Raw genomic sequence first — 23,781 nt, forward strand, 5'->3', positions numbered from 1 at the left:
TACAAGGAGAATGTGGAAGCATAATGATAGATGAGACTGGAGAGATAGCAGGGACAAGAGCTGACATGGTCCATTAAGTGACACTAATGACTGTTTTTCATTCTAAAAGAACTGGGAGGTTTTAAGCAAGAGCTGGGGAAGGGGTGAGATGAAGTGGCATTTACAGCCTTTGGAAAGTTTTGTTCCAGTAACTATGTGGATAGACTATACAGGAGGTTATTGCAGTAGAGAAATGATAATAGCTTTGAGGAGAATGGATGAAATGAAGGGAGTTGGTTATATATAGGATATAAAATTGTCAGGACTGGGTGATGAATTAGATATTAACTCATTTGATGATGTATGTCCAACACTAAGAACGATGTCTGGTACATAACTGCACCTAATAAATATTTGTGGAATAAATGTTAAATGAGTAAATACAAGAATGAGGGAAATGAGGTGTCAAGAATGACTGCTGAGATTCTAGGTAGAATATCTTAGATAAATGATGATTCCACAGCAAAGATAAAACACTCAAAAAGAAGGCCAGGATTGAGGTAAGGGTTCATTAGTTTATTTTTAATCTGTTGATCTTGAAGTGTCTTTAAGTCATCTAACAGAGCAGTCAAGAAAGAGAATGCATACCCTGGAGCCAAAAGGAGTGGTTTCAAACAAAAGTATGAATTTGTGAGTCACTTATTTATAAGAAGTGATTAAAACCTTAGGCATAAATACTATTGCCTAGGGAGAGACTACAGAGTGAGAAGAAGAGCGGATTCTGAAACAAGCTTAGAGAAGCTCTACAATCCAGGAAAAAGGTGATGAAGAAGGAGCCTGCAAAGGAGAAGCACACACAGAGAAGTTGGGTGCAAATAGGAAAGGTTTATATTGTGAAAAGCAAGCTAAGAGACTGGGTCAAGAAGAGACAGTGACTAAGTGTTGAATGCAATTCAAAGTCACGTATGAAAGACCAAAAGACATTCTTAGGGTTTAACTATAAAAAACGCATTAATGAGTTTAGAAAGAACTGTCTACATTCAGTAGAGGAATGGGAGTAGAGGCCAATGACATTAGGTGACTGGATGAGTGTTAAGTGATAAAATTGAGACTTTGTATAAAAGCAAGTGGAAAAGAAAAATAGTATAGTAGCTAAACAGTAATGAGGGAGGAGGTCAAATAACCAAAACGTAAGTCAAAGAGAAGCATTCTGTTGGCAGGAAGAGGATGACTACACATCAGAGAGAAGAGATAATCAAATGTGAAAGTTTTCTGAGAAAGTCAACTACTCTAAGTAATGTTAGTGTTAGAAACGCTCTCAGCAGGAGTCTAGCAGATTTGAGATGTCAAAATATGGTGATGGACAGAATGACCAAGAAAGAATCTAGAAAATAACCAAAAGGAACCTGTCCTGAAGTAAGTTGCATCAGATTAGGTATTTCACAATATTCAAGGAGAAATAGCTTTTGAAATTTGAAAATTTTTCCATTAAGAAAAAACTTTTAAACTTATAGACCATCTCCATATACCTTTCATATGAGTGGAGACTAAGAGTGGTATATGAATCAGCTCAGGCTGCCATAGCAGATTAACATAGACTGGATGGCTTAAACAATACAAAATTCATTTTTCAAGATTCTGGAGGCTGGAAAGTTCAAGATCAGGGTGCAAGCAAGGTAGGTGTCATTCTGAGACCTCTCTTCTTGGCTTGTAGGTGGCTACCATCTCACTGTTGTTCACGTGAGTTCATTTTTGCACACACATGGGGAGAGAAAGTTAGCTCTCTGGTGTATCTTCTTATAAGTAACAAATTCTATCAGATCAAGGCTCTACCCCTCTGACTTCACTTAACCTTAATTACTTCCATAAAAGTGCTATCTCCAAATACCACCACATTGGGGATTAGGACTTCAACATATTAATGCTATAGGGGACACAAACATGCAGTCCATTGCAAGCTGGAATAATTCTTAAAAATTGCATCCATGGATAATATGTCCAGTAGTCCAAATACAGGGTAAAATCAACTGATTTGGCATTGAGAAATACAGGGTCTTTAGAAAAATTTGTTCGATATAGGGGTCTTTGCATGACTCCATTCATCCGTTCTCCCATTTAAATATATTTTTAAAATATATTTGTAATTTCTAAAGCAATTGCTGTATACGTGAATGCTCTTTGTGGGAACAATGGAAAAGGCACAAGAACAGAGATTCTAGCCAGAGAAGAAAAAACAGAAATGATCACTAATCACCCTTTTTCTCTTGATAGAAGGATGAATGAATAGACTGATCAGTAGAATAACAGATGAATCCGTGGATAGTTTCTATATTTGCACTAGAACTTGATGTGTCTTTATTTGCAATTTGCAAATGGTAAAAAGAGATCAAAAGATTATGACTGAGGGCCCTGAATTTATAGATGAGCAGCTGCCAGTATTCCTGGCTTCACCATCCCACAATTCATATTTCACCTGTCTACATCTTTGCTCTTTCTCCCTCAACGACTCCTACCAAATGCTCTCAGCTCCTACTAAACCTTTAGGGCATACCTACTACTTCAGCATTCACTCTACAGGACACAAGAGACATCCATATAGCATATCCCAGGCCTATCATTACCCCTGGGTCTGTAACTAGGGTTCAAAATATATTGTCACCTATATTCTCCAGAGCCTTAAACCTCTTCCTCTGCCTCCTTGATTCCTAAACCTTAGAGAACTGTAGGATATAAGGCTGCTATTTCCCTATCTTATTTGATCAATAAAGGAGCATTGCCCAAAAAGTCATTCAATCTCCCAAGGTGCCTAAGCTCATGGGAACCACCCACTCCCCTCTGCATAGCAAATAAGTGTGCCAGATCCTTTCCCAATGAGTAGTCCTTAACACATCACTGTATGTACTCGCACATCCTGAAATTATCTGATCTCTTTGGTTGCTCTTTCTATGTCAATCTCTAGATGGTAAAATAAGGATTTAGTCTGGATGGCATAAAAACAAATATTCTCAAGCCTCCAGCCTGAGCCTCTTGTTGCAGCTTAGTTTAACAAAGAATCCTGCATTGGGAAATCGAGTATGAGGACTCAAGGGGGATTTGCCTTTGTCATCGCCTGTTGTGCATCTGTCTTCATCAGAGCCTCCTGAAGAAGAGCAGCTTTCCCTAGGCAGGATTCAGGCATTGCTGATTCCCTGGGGTAATACCAAGAAGTTTCAGTTTATCTCATGAAAAAATTAGCATTTGCTAAGATTTTAAATTATAGTTTTAAATATTTTAATGATAAAAGGGAAGTGAAATATGCCCAAACCCCAGATATTGAGTGTCAGCATAATAAGGAAATGGGCCTAGAATTATTATCTCATTCAATAAATTAGTTCAAAGGAAAGAAGCTGTAAACTGAAAGTTCCTTGATCATGAAAAATGTAACTACTGTGTAATATACCACAATACTTACTGCTCTATCTCCTGCCCTTTTAACTAATTGCAAGAAAATCAAGGGCAGCAGTTCTGAGGTTGATTTTGAAATCACTTTGTGGTAATTTAAAGTAATTGGGATTTTTCATGACAGTTGCTATAAAGAATATATAGCTTTGCTATTTCTTGTGACAGTTCTTTGAATTACACCTGCAGAAAAAGAAGTATGAGGCATTGTTGTTAATTTATAGCAATACACCAATTCCACCATCACGGGTTAGCATTACAAATGAGCAAAGGAAAAAAACAGCCTCTGGGTAAAATGAGAACTGCCTGTGAAGGTTCTTACCCAGTCCAGCCTTGTTTCTACCCAAACGCGCATTCATACCAACTCTAATACAGCCCTCTGAAGCCAATCTCCAACTTGGAGCCAAATGCCAACTCATTTGGAATCCTAAGTGCTAAGTGAAATGTTTAAAACATGCAAGAATCTTAATTAGTAAAGGATCAGAGGAAAAAATAAGTGTTCTATTAATAATTAGATAAACTTGAAGCATAATGACAAGTGCTCTGACGCCCTGTCTCTGCAATGCTTGCTGGGGGTAAAGCTTGTCAGTCGCTGCCTCCTTAGCACAAATTGCGTTTGAACTCAGGAAGGGCTCTTAAGAGCAAAAGAGTATAAAGATGTTTTCAGTATCTCCTCTTCCTTTTAGTGTCCCTGCTGTGTGAGCCCCACCATAATTAGAAGCTGGATTTAGTGGGATGCTTTAAGTGTTCAATTAGGTTTCTTTTCTTCCTACCAGTCCTGTTTTAATATGAATGAACACAAAGCCAATTATCATTCAGAAGCATGCTTTGAGTTGCGCTGACATTCTTCCTACATGTTTGACAATTATCACCCTGAGACATTGTCCTTAATTCAGATGGGGGTGGGGAGGAAGAATGGCCTAAATTTCTGTTTGAATACAACTAAAATCATGATGCCTTTTGCTCTCAAAATAGAATGATAGACCAGAGGCATGCTATTCAAAGTATGCTCCTCAGGCCTTTAAAAATGCAGAATCTAGTACCCACCTCAGACTGACTGAACCAGAATCTGCATTTTAACAAGGTCCTGGGTGATTTATATACACATTAAAGCTTGAACACCAATGATATGTAGTTATCAAAATATCTTTAATAATATATAATATCTGGGAGGAAAATATTGTGTCTTTGATTTGTTTCTTCCCCATAACTTTAGAATAAAGTATAGATTTTCAGCAATACTCAAAGAAATTAATCAGAATAGAACTGTCATGATAGACATCAATAAACCCACTAAAACTTTCAAGTCTCTCATTTAAGGTATGTAGAAAGATTGCATTTCCTTGCCTCCTTAGCTTGAGTATAGCTGGGAAGCTTGCTTTGGCCAATGAAATGAGAATGAAAGGGACATGTGCCCCTTCCATCTGAAAACATTTAGGAACTGGTACACCATTCCCCATGCTCTCGCTTCTACTGCCAAGGTGTTCATGGAAGTCTATGTTGACGTGGAAGTACTGTAACATAAAAAAAAAAAAGAAAAAGAAAAAGTAGTGCCATTTTTGGCTCTTTGCCAAAATAGCGAACATAAAGTGTAGAATTTTAACAATGTTCAAAGAAATAAATTAGAAAGTAACTCTGCCAACAAATGGAGGACAGCTGCCTCAACAGTGATGCCTTGACCCTCAGGGTGTTTTAAGTGAATGAGACATAAGCCTCTGAAATGTTGTTTTCTTAGTGCAGCATAACCTCACCTCTCCTGACTAACACAACTGACAATGTATAAATAAAATGAAGTAGAGAAAAGCAACCATTACCCATTGAACAGTAGAGGGCTAAGGAGCTTATTACAGGCATAGTCCAGCATCTGCATAGAAGCATCCATGTAGCCATAATATCTAGCATAACTTGAAAATTTCCTATTACCTTCAAATTTGGGATGGCACAGCTCCATAATGCAATATAATATCTTGTTTTAAAGCCTGTTAGAAATAGGACAATCATTCTTTCTTGGTTTAGGGAAGAATGAAGAGGCTCTAATGTAATTCAGAACCATCTCTTTTTCTTAAAAATACCCAAATATACTACTTTGTATTTGTTGTAAGTTTATCCATCTGTTTCTGATGTGCTTAAAAGTTTCCACAGGTTTTCTATAAAGCAAGGATGTCACTGGAGACTATACTTTTCCTATAGAACATGAATATACCTATTTAGTAAGAGTACAGTTATACATACTAGTTTTTATTGATTACTCATTTACCACCACTCATTGACTTTTACCAGAGGCAGAAGTGGACCTGAAGCTTACCCTCATTTTTCAAAGCACTAAATAGTACTGTACCATAGTTAATGATACCAACCATGCTTCTGACAGTGTCACTGGAATAGAGCTGGGCTCAGAAAATCCAATCTAGGCTTTAAGACATTTATTTCAAACACAAGGACACTAGGTACCCTTGTCAGAGGTTTAACTGATATTATGGTGAGAATAATTCAAATGCTTAACAAAATGCCGTGTTTGTATTCTTTTTCTAAATACTTGTAGCTAGAGGATGCCATACTCCAATTAAGATGTGTATGTGGTAATAGAAAAGGATCATTCAGGTATCTGTTCCATGATGCAAAGTCATTTGATGGAGAAATGTTGATGTAAGTAAAAAATATATATATATACTAATATACTAACATAAAGGAAGTAGTTATTGAACAAAAAATATGTCATGAGCTTAAACAGATTTTAACATGAAATAATTCATGCTCATCTTTGATGAAATATAATGGTATCTTTAAGAAAAAGGGACATAATTATTTGATTCAAGTCTTGTGTTCAAATTTTCCCTGGTCAATACAACAAAAAAGTATTAAACACAAATCAAGAAAATTTGTTTTAGGTGCGAAAATGGCATATTTTTAAAAACTTTACTTTTTAGCCATATCCTGAAACATTTTAAAATGAAATAATTACGGTGTCTGGGCTTTGCTTCACCATAATATGAGTAGAAGAGGGACGAAGTGAGTGTCTATACAGATAAAATAAGATTCGTCAATCATGATAATTGCTGAGACTGTGTGATGAGTACGTCAGATATGTTACAGTATTATCTCTGCCTCTGTAAATGTTTAAAAATTTCCATAATAAATAATTTTTAAGAGATTAAAAAAAAATAAGGTCTATAAATTAGTAGCTTGCCATGCCAAGCCCTGTGACTTACAGATCACAGTATGTCAAGGACAAAATGCTGTATTTGTAGAAGTGTAGAAAAAAGTAAAAGTGCACACAAGCAAACGCAGTCTCCTTATTACTTTTCCTGCCTACTCTGCACAAGGGGTTGTTACTGATTAAGTCTAATCAAATGCACTAACGGACATTTCAAAGGAACATCCATTTACAGAGACAAAGGAATAGTTTTTCCTATGAGTATTTCAAGCTTGTTGCTTTGAGTTGTCCTACCCTGTCTGCCCTTCTGGTGTGCCCCAACAGCAAAACTGGCTCTCAAATTAAGCATGTCTTTTATTTTTTGTTAATTCCAAACGAGTCATCATCTTCTTTAAAATTAATTGTCATGTAGTACAAGTCTAATTTTCTAAACATTCTCATACTTATCTAAACTTCCTTGAGCTTCCAAAGTGAATTAGATATACTTCAAATTTTGTCTTAATCATGCTTCTCTTTGAAAAATAAGATGCCATGGCTCTGTGGAAGTTTCTTTATTCTCTCTCTCATGGGAATTTACAAAAGAGCTAATGTAAGGGGGGTGGAGGGGAAACGTTTAAAACTTTGTAAATCTACAATAACCAGAAGATTCCAAAATAGTTTACAGACTAGGATTTTACCAGTTTTGATCACAAAAATCTACAGCAATGAACAGTTGCAAGATTATATTGTACCTTCTTCTAGTAATTATGTTTTCTAAAATGAATAGAATGGTAAAAGAATTTGGACACATAAATCATTAATAAGATTCAGTTAAGAAAAGTAAATGAGTCACAGAAATCATTTAAATAAGCTAGTGTCTTCCATCAGGTAAAACCTATAGTTAAGTACTACTTAAAATAATTAGTTAATTTAAGAAATGTCTGTTAATGTCTTTTGTCCACTTTTTAATAAGGTTATTTGCCTTTTAGTTTTTGAGTTGAGTTCCTTGTAGATTCTGGATCTTAGTCCTTTGTTGGAGATAGTAGTTTGCAAATATTTTTTCTCGTTCTGTAGGTTGTCTGTTTAAACTGTTATTTCTTTTGCTGTGGAGAAGCTTTTCAGTTTCAGTATTATTTGTCTATTTTTGCTGTTGTTGCATTTGCTTTTGAGTCTTAGTCAAAATTTGCCTAGGCCAATGTCCAGAAAAGCTTTATCTAGGTTTTCTTCTAGGATGTTTATTGCTTTAGGTTTTACATTTAAGTCTTTAATCCATCTTGAGTTAATTGTTCTATATGGTGAGAGATAGGGGTTCAGCTTCATTCTTCTGTATATGGCTATCCATTTTTCCCAGCACCATTTATTGAATAGGGAGTCCTTTCCCCACTGTATATTTTTGTTGACTTTGTTGAAGATTCAGTTGGCTATAGGTATGTGGCTTTATTTGAATTCTCTGCCCTGTTCCATGAATCTATGTGCCTATTTTTATACCAGTACCATGCTACTTTGGTTACTATAGCTTTTTAGCATAAGTTGAAGTCAGTAATATGATTCCTTCATCTTTGTTATTTCTGCTTAGGATTGCTTTGGCTATTTGGGCTCAAAAGACAACACACAAGCAGCCAACAAATATATGAAAAAATGATGAACATCACTAATCAGAGAAATGCAAATTAAAACCAAAATGAGATACCATCTCACACCAGTCAGAACAGCTATAATTGAGACATCAAAAAACCATAGATGTTGATGAGAATGCACAGAAAAGGGAACACTTATACACTGTTTTGGGGAATGTAAATTTATACAACGTCTATGGAAAACAATACGGAGATTTCTCAAAGAACTAAAAATGTAACTATTAGGCCCAGCAAACCCCCTACTAAGTATCTCCTCAAAGGAAAAGAAATCATTATAACAAAAAGACATCAACACTCATGTGTTTGTTGAAGCACTACTCACAATAGCAAAGCCATGGAATCAGCCTAAGACTCCCTCAGTGGATGACTGGATAAAGAATATGTGATATAGATACACCATGGAATACAATGCAGCAAGAAAACAGAATAAAATCATGCCTTTTGCAGAAACATGGATGAGGCTAGAGGCCATCATCCTAAGTGAAATAACTCAGAAACAGAATATTATATACTACATGTTCTCGCTTATAAGAGGGAGCTAAATAATGGTTACACATGGACATACAGAAGGCAATAATACACAATGGCGACTTCACAAGGGAGGAGGTAGGATTGGGAGGGTGAGTGCTGAAACATTACCTACTGGGTATAATGTTCACTATTCAAGTGATAGGCACACTAGAAGCCAATGCTCACCATTATTCAACATATCTATATAACAAATGTGCACGTGAACCTATAAAAATTAAAAAAATATTTAGTTTATATATAGAAAGAGTCATCAAGAAAGGAGTTTTCTCATTTGCCAAAGAAGTCTGCAATATTTTCTAACCATCTAAAGATCATCTGCATGGAAGTGTAAATTGGTACAACCACCTCAGAAAACTCTTTGGCAACATCTATTAATGCTGAAAACATGCCCATCTTATTACCAAACACTTCTCCTTCTAAGTATATATCCAACAAAAATAAACACGTTTATTCACCAAAATACAGGTACTAGAATGTTCAGAGTAGTACTTTCATAATAGCTCCAAGCTGGAAACTCTCCAAACAGTTATAATCAGTACAATACATAAATTGTGGAATATGCAGACTCAAGGGCAGAATCCCCTGGGAAGAAATCATGAATCTCACTGTTATCGACAAAAGATGCTGACAAGCTGGTATAAACCTCCCTGAATAATGTCCCTTAATTACAAAACAATACTGTGAGTCAATGTTTTATGCCTTACTAGGGGTCAGTGCTATTGAGGTACAAATTTTAATCCATTCAGACAGAAGTCTAATTCTAGACCTGTTGGAATTAGTCCTCACAACACAGGTTAGCCCATTTTAAGCCCCTCCCATATTGCCCCCTGACATGAGTATTACTGGAGATAATATTAAAGTGTCATTTCCAGGAAATCCCTGGAAATTTCCAAATCTGTAAGCCACAATAGTAATACATTAAATCACTGACAACTCTACAGATCTTAGCAACATTGATTTCCAAAAGGTCAGGCAGAAAAGATCTGAAGCAATGGGATATGGGATTATATGAGGAAGTAGAGTGTGTGCTGGAAGGAATAACCCTAATCCACAGACAGAAAGTGTATACTTTGCAGGCCAGCAAGATCAAGAGCTGCACATCGAGTCTCTAAGTCTCTCCTCCTGGATTTGGTTTAGCTTCCTATAAGCTTATTCTACAAGTCCATTCTTTACTTTCATGATACTACCTGTTCTCGGAAATATATGTGTATATCATACATCTATACATTTATTTAACTATTATAAGCACACATGTCTTATGTCAGTTGGTATATTTACTGTACAGGTCACCCACAACTATACCGGTCTCCTTCTTTCTTTTTTGAGACAGTCTTGCTCTGTCTTTCAGGCTGGAGTAGTGCAGTGGCGTGATCTCAGCTCACTGCAGTCTTCAACTCCCAGGTTCGTGTGATTCTTCTGCCTTCGCCACCCGTAGATCTGTCAGATGGACAGATTTAACTAGTCCATCAGGAATTTGGAAAATTTCTACTTTTCTCAATTTTTTTGTGTGATATTAGAAGGACACAAAAATGTCTGGTTCCTTTTTTCTTATTATCATAACATTTATTTTGACATTTTTGTCAAAATAAACATGGCTTTAGTAGCATTAGATATATTAATTTTTAAACATATACATAAGTACAGAAAACTTTTAGAAGTTATTCTGGTTTACAAGGGTGAAAATCATCCACTGAAATTTGCTTTCTCCCCAAACTTCACTAAAACCAGAGTAAAAGGAGTCTTTTTTAAAGACTTAAACACATAAGGACAGAGTTAAGAGGACAGCAATAAAACAGTAGATGGTTCAAAGGAGATGGATGTGTAGTAACTGACTTGGTGATGGAAGAAAGCTAAGTCCCAAGCCAACTGAGGAGAAAATTTTGAAACAGCCTTATTTAGACCACAGAAGCCCTACAAGTTTAGGATCTTGTATCATTCAATAGCTCTGGAACCAGGGAAGAAATAAGGAAATGGGACTATAATCAAAAGTACTGTAGAAAAACTGCGAAGCAGTAAGATTGGTAATTAGATCTTCTAATCCATGTTTCTGGGCAACTTCCCTCACCCCAACTCAGCTTCAATTTCTGGATATAATATCTGAGGCTCTCTGGCTGGAGGGATGCTATGCACAGTTAAGAATATAAGTGCCTATTAATAATTTCAAACTGTGTCCGTATCCATTCCCAATTGTAAAAGCAAAAATAGCTTCACTTCCAGAATCCCAACAACTGATGGAAGGCTTTTTTCTATATAATCTGACCACCACAAGAGGAAAAACCAGAGATACTGTCATTAGAGATTGCCCCCACAAACAGCCCACTCAAGTCTCCCTACAATAAAGCATAACGTTCACCAGGCCTACACATGGTAGGAGAAAGGGGGGGATGGTCATCTTAATCATTAGCACGTACTCAAGGATGATCAGACATCTGAGGAAAAGCTCTAATCTGGAAGGTCGAAACCAAACAAACTTACATTTAAAAATGACTTGAAGAAAACAGGAGGAAACTTGACAGGAGAAGAAAATCTTAAATTATTATTTTCATTTACATTCTCAAAGAAATGAAAGAAGACACTGCAGTAAAAATTGGACACTATAAAAAGAAGATCCAAGCATTCTCATTGATCAATTCCCACCTATGAGTGAGAACATGTGGTGTTTGGTTTTCTGTCCTTGAGATAGTTTGCTCAGAATGACGGTTTCCAGCTTCATCTATGTCCTACAAAGGACATGAACTCATCCTTTTTTATGGCTACATAGTAACACTTGGACACAGGGTGGGGAACATCACACACCAAGACCTGTCATGGGGTTGGGGAAGCAGGGAGGGATAACATTAGGAGAAATATCTAATGTAAATGAAGAGTTAATGGGTGCAGCACACCAGCAGGGCACATGTATACATATGTAACAAACCTGCAGGTTGTGCCCATGTAGCCTAGAACTTAAAGTATAATAAAGATAGATAGATAGATAGATAGAAAATCCAGTAGAAAAAAAGTACTCATGAAAATTTTAAAAAGCACAATGGCTGAAATGAAAACTCAATGTAAGTATTAATAGGTCAAGAAGAGGAAACTTTTCTAGAAAGTAGAACAAAGACCAAGAAATGAAAAATAGCTTCAAAAGATAAGAGAATTAGGAGGAACAGTTCCTGAGATGCTGCATCCAAATAAGTTTTCTAAAAAGAGAAAACAAAGAAAGAGGAAGAATGGAAAAGACCAACATCATTCAACCTAAAATGCCAGATTGAAACAGCACACTGAGTGCCCAGCACGGCAGGTCAAAATATGCTTATTCTAAAACATAACTTGTTTTTTTGTTTTGTTTTGTTTTTTCAGAAAAATGATGACAAAGAAAATTCTACTTCTTAGCAGAACCGTGAGAAAGAATGGGGAAGAGTCCATCAAATGGACTGTACAAGGAATCAGAATGGCTTTGCAGTTCTCAATCGCAACCCTGAAGTCAAGATGACTGAAGAAATACCTCAAAATTCAAAAGAATAATAATTTCTAAAATAGAATATTATACTGAACCAAATTATCTGTCAAGTAAAGACATTTCAGAAATACATTCTAAAAGTATATATTCCACCCACTCACTCACGAAAAGCTACTAACGGGTATATACTAATAAAATAAGAAAGGGTAAGTAAGCAAACAAAAAGACTTAAGTATTAGAAAACAGGAGCCCAGGAAAGAGGCAAAAGGCCAGAAAAATCCTCAGATAGAGAAGAGAAAAATCCCAGGGTGTCAGTCATGCACAGACCTACACCACAAGCAGCACAGGCTGGAAAAGTATCACTTAAGAAACAGATGTCAAATAGTCCTAATTAAATATTTCTATTTTCCCTAAGGACAGGTGCTAGGATCAGGCTAGCAGAGATTCTTACACATTTGCCCTTTTAGCCTTGATTATATGCTGATGCTCTCCTACTCTCCTTTAAATGCCCTGTGTTCTGAAGCAGCCAACTTCACTCATTGCACAAAACATTTTGTCTTTGGATAAGCTTGAGACCTGCAAAGCAAGCCGGCGACCTTAAAAGGAAACAGAATGTAGCCCTCTCTCTCACTACATTGCTATTGGGTATTCAATATCAGTCCTGCTGGATACCCTGATTGCTGAGAGGGCCTCAGTCAGAACTTTGTAGGCTGACTTCTCCAAGAAGGCACTCTTGGAAACGGTAACGGTGCCTGAAGCCAATGAATCAGAGACTGCTCACTTTATCTTCTCCCGGGAGTCTTCATCTAAAGGTAATAGATTTGTGCTCACTGCTCAGTTTTTCCACACCAAGCAATATACTGTTTAGAGAAAACACATAGAAAGTAAATCATTTTTTAAAGCCAAGAAATGAGTCAGGCAAAAGACAGTGGCTACCTGGAAAAGAGAGGACAGGATGAGAGCATCCTGAGAGATGCATTTGGAGAAGGACCTAACCCTCGGTAGGCACACAAGCCTTTTGATAATTTAAATATATGTATGGTGTGTGCATATGTATGTTGATATGGTTTTGCTCTGTATCCCCACTCAAATCTCATGCCGAATTGTAGTCCCCACGTGAAGGTGGGCCCTGGTGGGAGATGATTGGATCAAGAGGGTGGTTTCACCCTTGCTATTCTCATAATGAGTGGGTTCTCATTGAGATTTGATGGTCTAAAAGTGTTTAGCTTTCTTAGCTTTCTCTCTCCTGCCACCACGTGAATAAGGCTTACATTTTGCCTTTCATCATGATTGTAAGTTTCCTGAGGCTTCTCAGTCATGCATTCTGTTAAGCATGTAGAACTGAGTCAAAACTTTTCTTCATAAATTACCCAGTCTCAGGTAGTTCTTTATAGCAGTGTAAGTATGGACTAATGCATATGAGTGTATGTAGGTATATATGTGTATTATACTTTTCTATAAGTTAAATTTTACAACATTAAAACAAGTGGAAATCATTTATAATCCAATCACACATATAATCCTTTTTATCACAATAGTGTTTCTATGCATGTTTGTGACATTTTTAATCCATTTTTTAAATTTAACAGCATATTGTGGACATTTTTGCAAAACATATCCATCTTTTTTAATGCATTATGTGAATGTTTCAAAACTTATTCAACTATTCTCAGTGAGCAACTTTCCATCTTGAAATTTCCCTTTCTAAAATGGCAACAATGATATCTGTTCCTTTTCCCTGTGCTCAAGAATGAAGTAACAACCCAAAAGACAAGACTGCAGAGCACTGAGAACTTGCTGGAATGCTAGCACTCCACAGATGGCTCTGTTCCATTCATTGAGAAGATAGTTTCTTTAAATTGTTATATCTATACATTTCTGTATCCCACTGTTTTCAAAGAGTCAAGAATGTATAATCCCAATAATAAACTTGAAAATAAATCTTCTTGGAAGAAAAAAACCTGTTATTTTTGTTTTAATTTTTAATTAGTATTCTTGGTATTCACATAAGAAATGCATAAATTTAAAAAGCTTAAGATCTTCTTGTCACCATCACCACCCCAACTCCTTTATATTCCCACTACCACCCCACTAGCAAGGCAATTAGTGATCAAAGTGTGATATATATCCTTTCACATATTTCTCTATAAAATCTTCTCTTTTTAAAGAAAAGAAACTACTTGCAATACAGATTATTCCACACAACCTCTCTGGAGGCTTCTTAGCATCAGAGATAATAAGAAACCTGATTCCAGCTAACACTGCTGCAGAAACAAAGGGACTGTATAATAATCTTGTTCTTAGAAGTGCCCATGATTCTTTTCACTTTCCTTTGTATATCAATCTACCCAAATCACTATGCAACTGTGCAGTTTTCTGTTAATGGATCCACAGGGCCCAACTCCTTTGACAGAGACCATTCAAATTCGTTCAGGAAATCTTTTGCAAGCAACCCTCATGAACCAACTCATATTTCAGAATCCTTGGAACTAAGTTTCTTCCAAGGCTATACATAAGTGGCAACTACCATCCACTCCCATGACTCCGCTGGCTTCAAATCAAACAGTCTCTTTAGAAACCCAGATACCTTTAACCAACCATCGGGGCCTATTACAAAGCACAGCATTCACAGAAAGACATCAATCTGCACTTTTTGTAAAAGAAGCACAATGTCCTTCTTGAGGGCTTGTTGAACAGCAACTGAGAAAACACTTGAAGCCCAGAATCTTGTCCATAACCTCAGTTCAAACCTCTTCCCACCCCGTGCCCCTTCTTGTTCCCAACACTCTCCTCCTGCCCCCATCCTTCCTGTAGTTTAATAGAAGAGGTTAATAGCTTACAAAAAGTAGAAAATCAAAAACAGACCCAAAAATCTTTCCCAGTGACAAAAGAATTAAGCTGGGTCTGAAATTTTCAAAAATCAATCAGGATCGTAAATGCAGTGGTGAGAATGAATTCATACATGTTTCTTCTCTTTATATATCAAGTGGAAAGAAAATATCACAAACCGATATAAGAAAGGGCCAGGATTTTAAGGTTACTTCCTGAATTCTAATTCATCCAATATTTAGGAACTTTGCATTGTGAGCAAAATGAGTCATAAAGCAAAGCATGCTTTCTCTAGACTTTGGTAAATGAAAACCTACATTTTTTACCCACAAAATTCTTTAACTATATTTTCTAGAACTAAATGTAACTATTTTAAAGAAATTCAAACATTCAAAAATAAAAATTGGAAATACAAGGCACATGTCATTCTTTCTTCATTTGTCACTGTCTTCATACCATGCCTCCCAAGTAGCTGGGACTATAGGCTCACACCACCACACCCAGCTCATACCATTTTATTTTCTATTATTACGCAATCAGATTGTGTTTTTTTAATTTTTTTTTTTGAGACCAAGTCTCACTCTGTCACCTAGGCTGGAGTGCAGTGGAGTAATCTCAGCTCACTGCAACCTCCACCTCCCAGGTTCAAGTGATTCTCCTGCCTCAGCCTCCTGAGTAGCTGGGATTACAGGCACACACCATCACGCCTGGCTAATTTTTGTAATTTTAGTAGAGACAGGGTTTCACCATGTTGGTCAGGCTGGTCTTGAACTCCTGACCTCGTGATCTGCCCACCTCGGCCTCCCAAAGTATTTTATCATCATTTATATGAATAGATAATTATTTCTATTGCTGCCTCAGATTTATTGAATGTCACCACTGTAATAGCCTGTGGTACCATGTGAAATATGAAGCTATTAAAAAATAAGTGAAAATGAAGTTTAACTTTTTCTGTAGAAGTTCTTTTTCAGGGTATATTTTTATTTATCAATAGGAAAATAGGACATAGCTTTTGCCGTTATACTATCAAAGTGAATGTAGTACCTTGTTTATTGGTAATTGGTTATCCTTAATTTTGTTTTCAAATTGAAAATTTTAAGTTCCTATCTTGTTTATTCAACAAATATTTCCAAAATAGCTCGTCTGTAAAAATATAAATCCCTTCTCAGAACCATTATTATCAGATCATTTTAATTACATTCCAGTCCTTTGAAGAGAGATGAAGCTTCTACCTCAACATGTACAAGTTCTCTGAGAGCAGAGATCATGTTTTAGTCACTGTCAGTACCTAGCACAGTTCTTGGCACATAGTAAGCAGTCAATAATTGTGTGATCAATGAATAAAATTAAATGAATGAATGGACATTAAAGATATCATGATAATTAATGTAACTTTTATATATTCAAGACAGAACTGAATAGGTTTCTGATAGGATGTGGATATTCAAATCAATGTAACAATTCAGAGATTCCCTAAGGCATTTATTAATCCATTTATTCATTCATGCCTTTGTTATAAAGAGACTAATTGTTTTCTCCAGTAAAACAGACTATAGTTATCATTGCCATCTATATAGTATAGAATAACTTATATCCATAGGAAAATAATCTTTTTCCTTTTGTAGTGACTCAGAGTAAATCCAGAAATGATTGATAACCCACCTTGATACCAAAGAAGAGTAGTAAGGTGAAAAATAGCCCCTATCTATTAGAATGTCTCTGAGACTAGGAGGAAAAGACTTCCCAATGTATCTTCTGAAAGAAGCCAATTTGTTGGAATCTCAACACCATTTTGGTTGATAACCATGATACACATTTAGTCAGCCTCAGTCATTCAGTCTAGTGTTGAGACAGACAAGTAAATGAGTGATATGGTAGCATCATGCACAGAGTATTTGGAAGGGTATACGGACTCCTAGCCCAGGTATTTTGTAGGTTTAGAATTGGAGAAGTCTTCCCAGAAATGTTAATACTTACAGCTTGGCCCAGAAGCACAAGAGCATAGCAAACATCAGTGACAGAGTCTGAGATGGAAGAAGAGACACATTAAAAGCTCAGAGGCAAGGGAAAGCCTGGAGCATACAAGCAAATTGAGTTATTCAGTAGACTGGACAGAGAGGGTGAGCCAGTCAGGGTAAAACTGATAATAAATGCTATTAACCAGGACTAGACACAGGGGTCCTCAAACATCACACCAAGAAGCATAGACGATCTTACAGGTGAAAGTGAATAAATGAGAGATTCAAAATAAGGGCACATTATAATCGGTTTGCATTCAAGGACAAAATTTATGTGAAGAATGTATTGGAGGGGGCAGACTGTGGGCAGATAAACTAGTTTAGGAGGTTATTGTAGTTACATAAGCAATAAATTCCGAGGACCTTAACAAATGCCTACTACTAATGTATCATTAATCCTAGAAAACTTATTTTATTTGGAGCATCTTCTTCAATTTCTTCTCTCCTTTGCTTAAGAGTTTACTCAGATATTTGACCAAGTTACTTACTACCCCACAGGAATGACACTTTCTGAGATGTCCATGTACCTAAAATTACTAGCCAGCCAGTAACTGATATACATATATATACACAGAATCAATTTAAGTCTAAGTAAGTCTCACTTTCAAAAAACAGCATGATTACTATGCTCATGTTTATTTTTACAGTAGTCTCATTATCATCCATCCCAAACTTTATTTCATAGCATACACAATACATGATCAGGAAGCACTGCACACTATCTGATATGAAAATATAAAATGATAATTTCACCTAGCTCTTTCTACCATTAGTAGATGCTACTCATTTTGTAAATGTCTAAAATGACCATTTGAAATAAAATAATTTGTGGTCAGAAAAATGAGTAAAATAATGTGAAATACATAGTCAGAAAAATAAGAATGAATGTATTCTTTTTAATAGCTATTTAATCATGTTTTTGATTCATGAACAAATGCAGACACTAAATTATATCATATGTAATAAAGTGATCTGCATACCATTGCTAAAGATATTGCTTGCAAATACAGGGAGATGTTTTACCTGGCAAATAAAACAACCAATAAAAAACCAAATGGTGAACATTACAAGACACTTATTTTATTTCATATATAAATTCCTCAGTATATATAAAATTCTGTATTTTAAAAAATCAGTAAGAATTACAGCCACATAGACCCAACTATAACTAGTTCTTTGTAACTACAGTGATGATTACTATGCAATCCTGAGGAAAGCTAAGGCAAAAACTAAGATTGAAAACTACTTTCTGAAATGTTTGAGTTATGTCTTTTATTCAAGCAGTTACTTTATTCCTTTTACTATTTTTTAAAAACACTTTTACTTTAAAAACCAAAAAGAATGCTTTTCTCATTATATCCAGAGAGAGAAAGAGGAACCAAATATTTTACCATTTGGTATAATCTCAATGAAAAATAGAGGTTTATTCTCAAATAGCATGTAGGTTAATTGCATTTTGAGTCAAGAAATAAAAAACGTAGCTTTTCAATAGAATTATTCAACAAGCTAATAGAGGTCAGACTGAACAATGGTCACTATTCCTGGAAGCAGAAATAATAACTGCTGTTACGAAATACAAGGCCCTGGCTGTTGTTTTTCTTCTCTCAAGAAAATTTATAATGATTTTTGTTATTAATCTGTTTATAAAATTTCTAATAGAGAGAAGAGTGTAATAGTGAATGAGAATAAGCTAGAAAGTCACTGACTTTCCAGTTCTGCCACCCAGGTTAAAACTCATTAACATTTTGGATTTCCTAAGTATTGAATAATAGTCAGAGTGAGGGAATCACTTCTCAGGATAATCAATGCTGGAAGAGAAAAATAACTTAGAACCTCCCTAAGTTCTACAAGAGGGAGAGAGGGAGGGAGAGAGGGAGAGAGGGAGAGAGGGAGAGAGGGAGGGAGGGAGGGAGGGAGGGAGGGAGAGAGGGAGAGAGGGAGGGAGGGAGGGAGGGAGGGAAGGAGGGAGGGAGGGAAGGAGGAAAGGAGGGAGGGAGGGAGGGAGGGAGGCAGGGAGGCAGGGAGGGAGAGAGGGAGAGAGAATAGAGGAGTTTAAAAAGATTAGACATTCTTTTTTTAAAAAAAAAGTAAGGGAAGGGAGAGAATAAAAGGGAGAGACAGAAAGTTAGAATGCAGTGTGAGATTCAAAAAGAAAGAAAAAAATGAAAGGCAGAAAGTCTACTTTAAACTTTTAAGTTCAGGGATACGATTTCAGGTTTGTTATATAGGTAAACTTGTGTCATGAGGGTTTGTTGTACCGATTATTTCATCACTCATATATTAAGCCTAGTACCCATTAGTTAATTTCCTGATCCTCTCACCCCCCCACCCTCCAAAAAGGTCCCAGTGTATGTTGTTTCCCTCTATGTGTCTATGTGTTCTCATCATTTAGCTCCCACTTATAAATGAGAACACATAGTATTTGGTTGTCTGTTCTTGTGTTAGTTTGGTGAGGATAATGGGCTCCACCCTTATCCATGTCCATGCAAAGGATATGATCTCGTTCTTTATGGCTGCACAGTATTCCATGGTGTAAATGTACCACATTTTCTTTATCCAGTCTAAAATTGATTGCCATTTAGGTTGATTCCATGCCTTTGCTATTGTGAAGTGCTGCAATGAACATGTGCGTGCGTGTCTCTCTAATAAAATGATTTATATTCCTTTGGGAATATACCCAGTAATGGGATTGCTGTGTTGAATGGTATTTCTGTCTTCCGCAGTGGCTGAACTAATTTATACTGCCACCAACAGTGTATAAGCGTTCCTTACAAAGTCCACTTTTAAGTATATTTTCTTCCCTACAACACTCAACATGTTCTAAGTAGAAATGTTTATAATTGTTTGCCTTTTCTTAGAAATAACAGCACTAAATAAAACAAGAGCTATTTTTGCCATACCTGCATTCCCACAAGTATTTTTTAAAATAGCAGCAAATGTAAAAAGTTTTGAAACAAATGATTAACTATTTTAAATGAGAAAATACAGTAAAAATATGCTTCTCCACAAAAATTACGCATAGCATATATGTAAAAAATGTCACACTGAAGCACTGTTACAATTCATCCTCCATATGTCCAATATTTTGAATAACATAATATCTTACAAACACAAATAAGGAAACATTGTTAATTATATCAAGCATAGACTGTTTTATGAATCAATTATTTGAGAAGCACTTTACCAATCAACATAAATAATAATTCAATAGTTATATTGAAGTGTTCTGAACTAGAATACATACATTCCAACAAGTTGGCAATAGACTGCTTTTGCAATCTGCTTTTCATCTCCCTAAAAAATAAATTGCTCCGCATAAACAATATTTCAGAAACTGACAGAGTTGGCAGCTCTGCTGAAGACAGCAGGGATATTAGCAACCATGACTGATAGCAAAATTGGGGGTTGCAGAAGGAGGAAAGAGTACACGTTCAAATTTAAGGAATAGCGCTTCTACTTCAGATTCTTTTCAAAAAATGTGGGATGACATATTGAGGTCACCACTGATTAAAGAGATAAATCTGTAAGGGAGATTTTCACCTCCTGTGAAATCTTCAGAGAAACCACTTGGAGACACACTGGCCTACACCTTCCTGCTGTGGACACACCATGGGTGCCTACGGCTAAATTTCTCTAAGGTGGGTTTGCCCACTGGATGGCATGGCTAATTAATGAAAGAAGCTGAAGACTTAGTCCTCCTTGATGTAATGACAGTATGAAAAGCAGCGAAGCTCGCTCTCTTATATCAGATCTACCAGAGCAAAGCTGGAAGAGCAAGTTGGTAATTCTTTGATGTAGAACCCTCAGTTTAACAGTCAGTTTTCCTCACCAATTTCCTCTAAACTGTATTTACTGAGACCATCTGTTTAGCTTCTTTCTAAAAATATTTTCCTCGAAAATTTATATACCTTGTCTTGAAAGGGAGATGATCTACTTGTTATTAAATAGTGTGAAAAAAATACATTTCCCTGGTATCCCAAAATAAAGCATTCCATTCTGTCAGTTTGTAGAGATTTTAGTTATTTACTATCTCAGGAATGAAGGAAATGCTCAAATTCATTCTGTCTAGCAGAAACTACTGGCTGCCCACCATACCTAGTCTCCCTACCTTGTTACTAATAAACCCTGAGTTTAACTAGAAACATGGCACCTAGCCATATGTTTCCAGCTTCCTTTGCAGTTAAATGTGGCCATGTGACTACATTCTGTCTTTTAGGATATAATGAAAATTATGAGGACAACTTGCAGGCATTGCCTTTCTAAGAAAGGAATATGCCTTTCTCTTCCCTTCCCCCTATCCTACTTGTCATCCCTTTAAAAAGAACAACCAATTCACATAGAGTGACCATATGGCCTGGTTTATCTAGGACACTCACATTTGCTCCTGTTGCTCCAGGGACTTGTGGTCTCCTAATCTTAGACCATTAAATGGAAGCTGTATTAAGAATCACCAAGTTACAAAATAGGAGTCACTGCTATTTTGGCCATTTTAGAACATCTGAAAGGGCACTGTATGATTAAGAGAAAAACATTAGAAATCTTGTTAAATGTTAGAATGATACATGATTATTCCATTCGAGGTGTTCAAATCTAGGGAGATATTGAACATTTAAACAAATAATTTTAATCAAGGAAGAATCCACCTCCACCACTCACAAAAAAGCTAGGAAACTTGAAGGGAAAAAAAAAAGCAGTTTTTTCCTCAGGAAACTTAAGGAGGCTTCTTGGATAAGGGAGCGTTTGGCCTGGGCCTTGCATGGTAGATATTAAGTAGTTTTTAAAAGGCAACAAACAGTTCTAGGTAAAGAGATTAGCATGAGCAAAGATACAAATATACGAATGACATTTTCCAAAAATGGGAGAGTATAAAGTGTTAGGTGGGTAGGATGTAGGAAAAGCTGAAACAAATGTTCTAGTTTAGTATCTAATTTTGGAGAAATTTCAATGCTGCTCTGAGAAGTTTAGTTTATTCTGCAGAAAATGTGAAGCCACTGAAGGTTTCACTCAATCTGCCTTGCAATGGACAGAATGAATCCAAGAGAGGTAATAGTGTTCATATCTATAGGAACATGACTGACTAGATATGGTTAGTGAGGGGAATGAATTAATGATAAATGGTGGGATACTTTTTGAAATAACATTGGTCTCCACTCACATTTTCTGTCATCTTTTGGCCCTTTCTTCTTCCCGCTCCTCTCATTCAGCCAGTTAGATTGTCCTTTGCTGGAATTTCAAAAACCTGAGGCGTGAGAAACTCAAAACTTGGGGAAGAAAAGTAAATAGATTTGGAAGAAATCAGGAAGAGAAAAATCAGGCTATACCCCTTCCATACTCCATCATGCAAACATACCCAAGATTCCCCTGGACTGGGAGAAGAGAAAGTTAGAGTATTGTCTATTGGAACCTAGACATTGGTCCCTAATAAATGGACCCTCCATTGTGGCTGTCCCAAGAACTTCCAAGAACCTGTGGGCCTTTTCCTAGGTAAAAGAACGTAGAGAATCTGCAGATCAGAAATAGAAGCATGGCCTTGCAAGACCAACAAGCTCTTAATCAACTGCAAGGGTTCATCATGACTCAGTCCCGGCAAAAGCAGCTGAATGATTCCCATGTGTCCAAGAGTACAGAAAAGTAGGAGAAAGAAGTGGTGGGCTGGCAAGGGGCTTCCAAACAAGAGCTTGGGACTTTGTCAGGTAACTTGCTTGTGCCAGTGACCAGTTACCCAACAGGATGGGTATGACCGCAGATGTAACTCTGCCAGATGGGACAGTAAGTCAGATAAATCCACCTCACCACTAGCACTAGGCACTTGTAGAAGCCTTCAAGAACTTAGATTCAGCAGAAAAAGAGACACCCTAGTCAGAGAATAGTTTTCTGCCACTCTAGGGAAATAGTTGCTCAGAATAAAAATGAAGTTCAGTTGTAGAAAAAGTTAAAAATTTTTAGTTTTACATGCTAAAATTTTAACATTATGTGGTGACCAGATCACCACATAACATCTCTGAATCTCTAGCCCGGGAAACATGAAAAGATGGTAGTAATATGATAGGTAACACAAATGGAGAAGAAGAAAATTACTAGCCTAGCAGAATTTTTAAAAATTGTCTCTCAATTAATGATGGAAATAATTTACTTAAGAAATTACTCTTCTTTTTTCTCTATTTCTTCAACAAAAGACTTATTGGTAAAATTTCCTTCATGGACTTTTATTTGTAAATCAAATTAAGTGGGGGAAAAGGTATAACAAATTAGAACCTCAGAATTAAATTAGACGTTATAGTGAACCCTAAAACTAAGTTAAAATGACAACCAATGAAATATAAAATATAAACATTAAAATTCTTTGAAAACTTTTTAATTAAATGTTTTCTGTTTAGTTTATTTACTAGTATTATAATATTTTATAATTAATATTTCAGCAGCACTACTAAGGAGGTTATTACAGTTACATAGGCAATACATTCTGAAGACTTTAAACACCATCTACTAATGTATCATTCAACCTAAAAATATTACCTCCTTTTATTTTCAGCATTTTTCTCAATTCCTTCTCTCCTTTGCTTAAGACAGTTTACTCATATTTGAAAAAGATACTTACTGCCCCATGGAACTAGCACTTTCTAGGATGTCCATATACCTAAAATTACTGGCCAGCTGGTAACTGGGATATATATATATTTGCATAGAATTAATTTTCTAGTCTAACTAAATAAGGCTCACTTTCAAAAAACATTGAAAAAAATCCATGTATGAGCTAGTATAGAATTTAACCAC

At 36.2% G+C, this 23,781-nt stretch overlaps 1 long non-coding RNA gene across 1 annotated transcript in view; it reads right to left on the minus strand.

Annotated features, from left to right (window-relative positions):
* The window catches only part of LINC02208 (long intergenic non-protein coding RNA 2208), a 211,152-nt gene that overhangs the window by 95,953 nt on the left and 91,418 nt on the right, over window positions 1-23,781 (minus strand). Inside the window, exons 8-9 of the long non-coding RNA NR_104610.1 lie at window positions 22,163-22,230; window positions 21,384-21,516 (exon numbers count right to left, since the gene is read on the minus strand). This is a non-coding gene — a long non-coding RNA (long intergenic non-protein coding RNA 2208). The remainder of the gene's footprint in view (window positions 1-21,383; window positions 21,517-22,162; window positions 22,231-23,781) is intronic.

Source organism: Homo sapiens, chromosome 5, assembly GCF_000001405.40.
Source record: "Homo sapiens chromosome 5, GRCh38.p14 Primary Assembly".
In the NCBI taxonomy this organism is placed as follows: domain Eukaryota; kingdom Metazoa; phylum Chordata; class Mammalia; order Primates; family Hominidae; genus Homo; species Homo sapiens.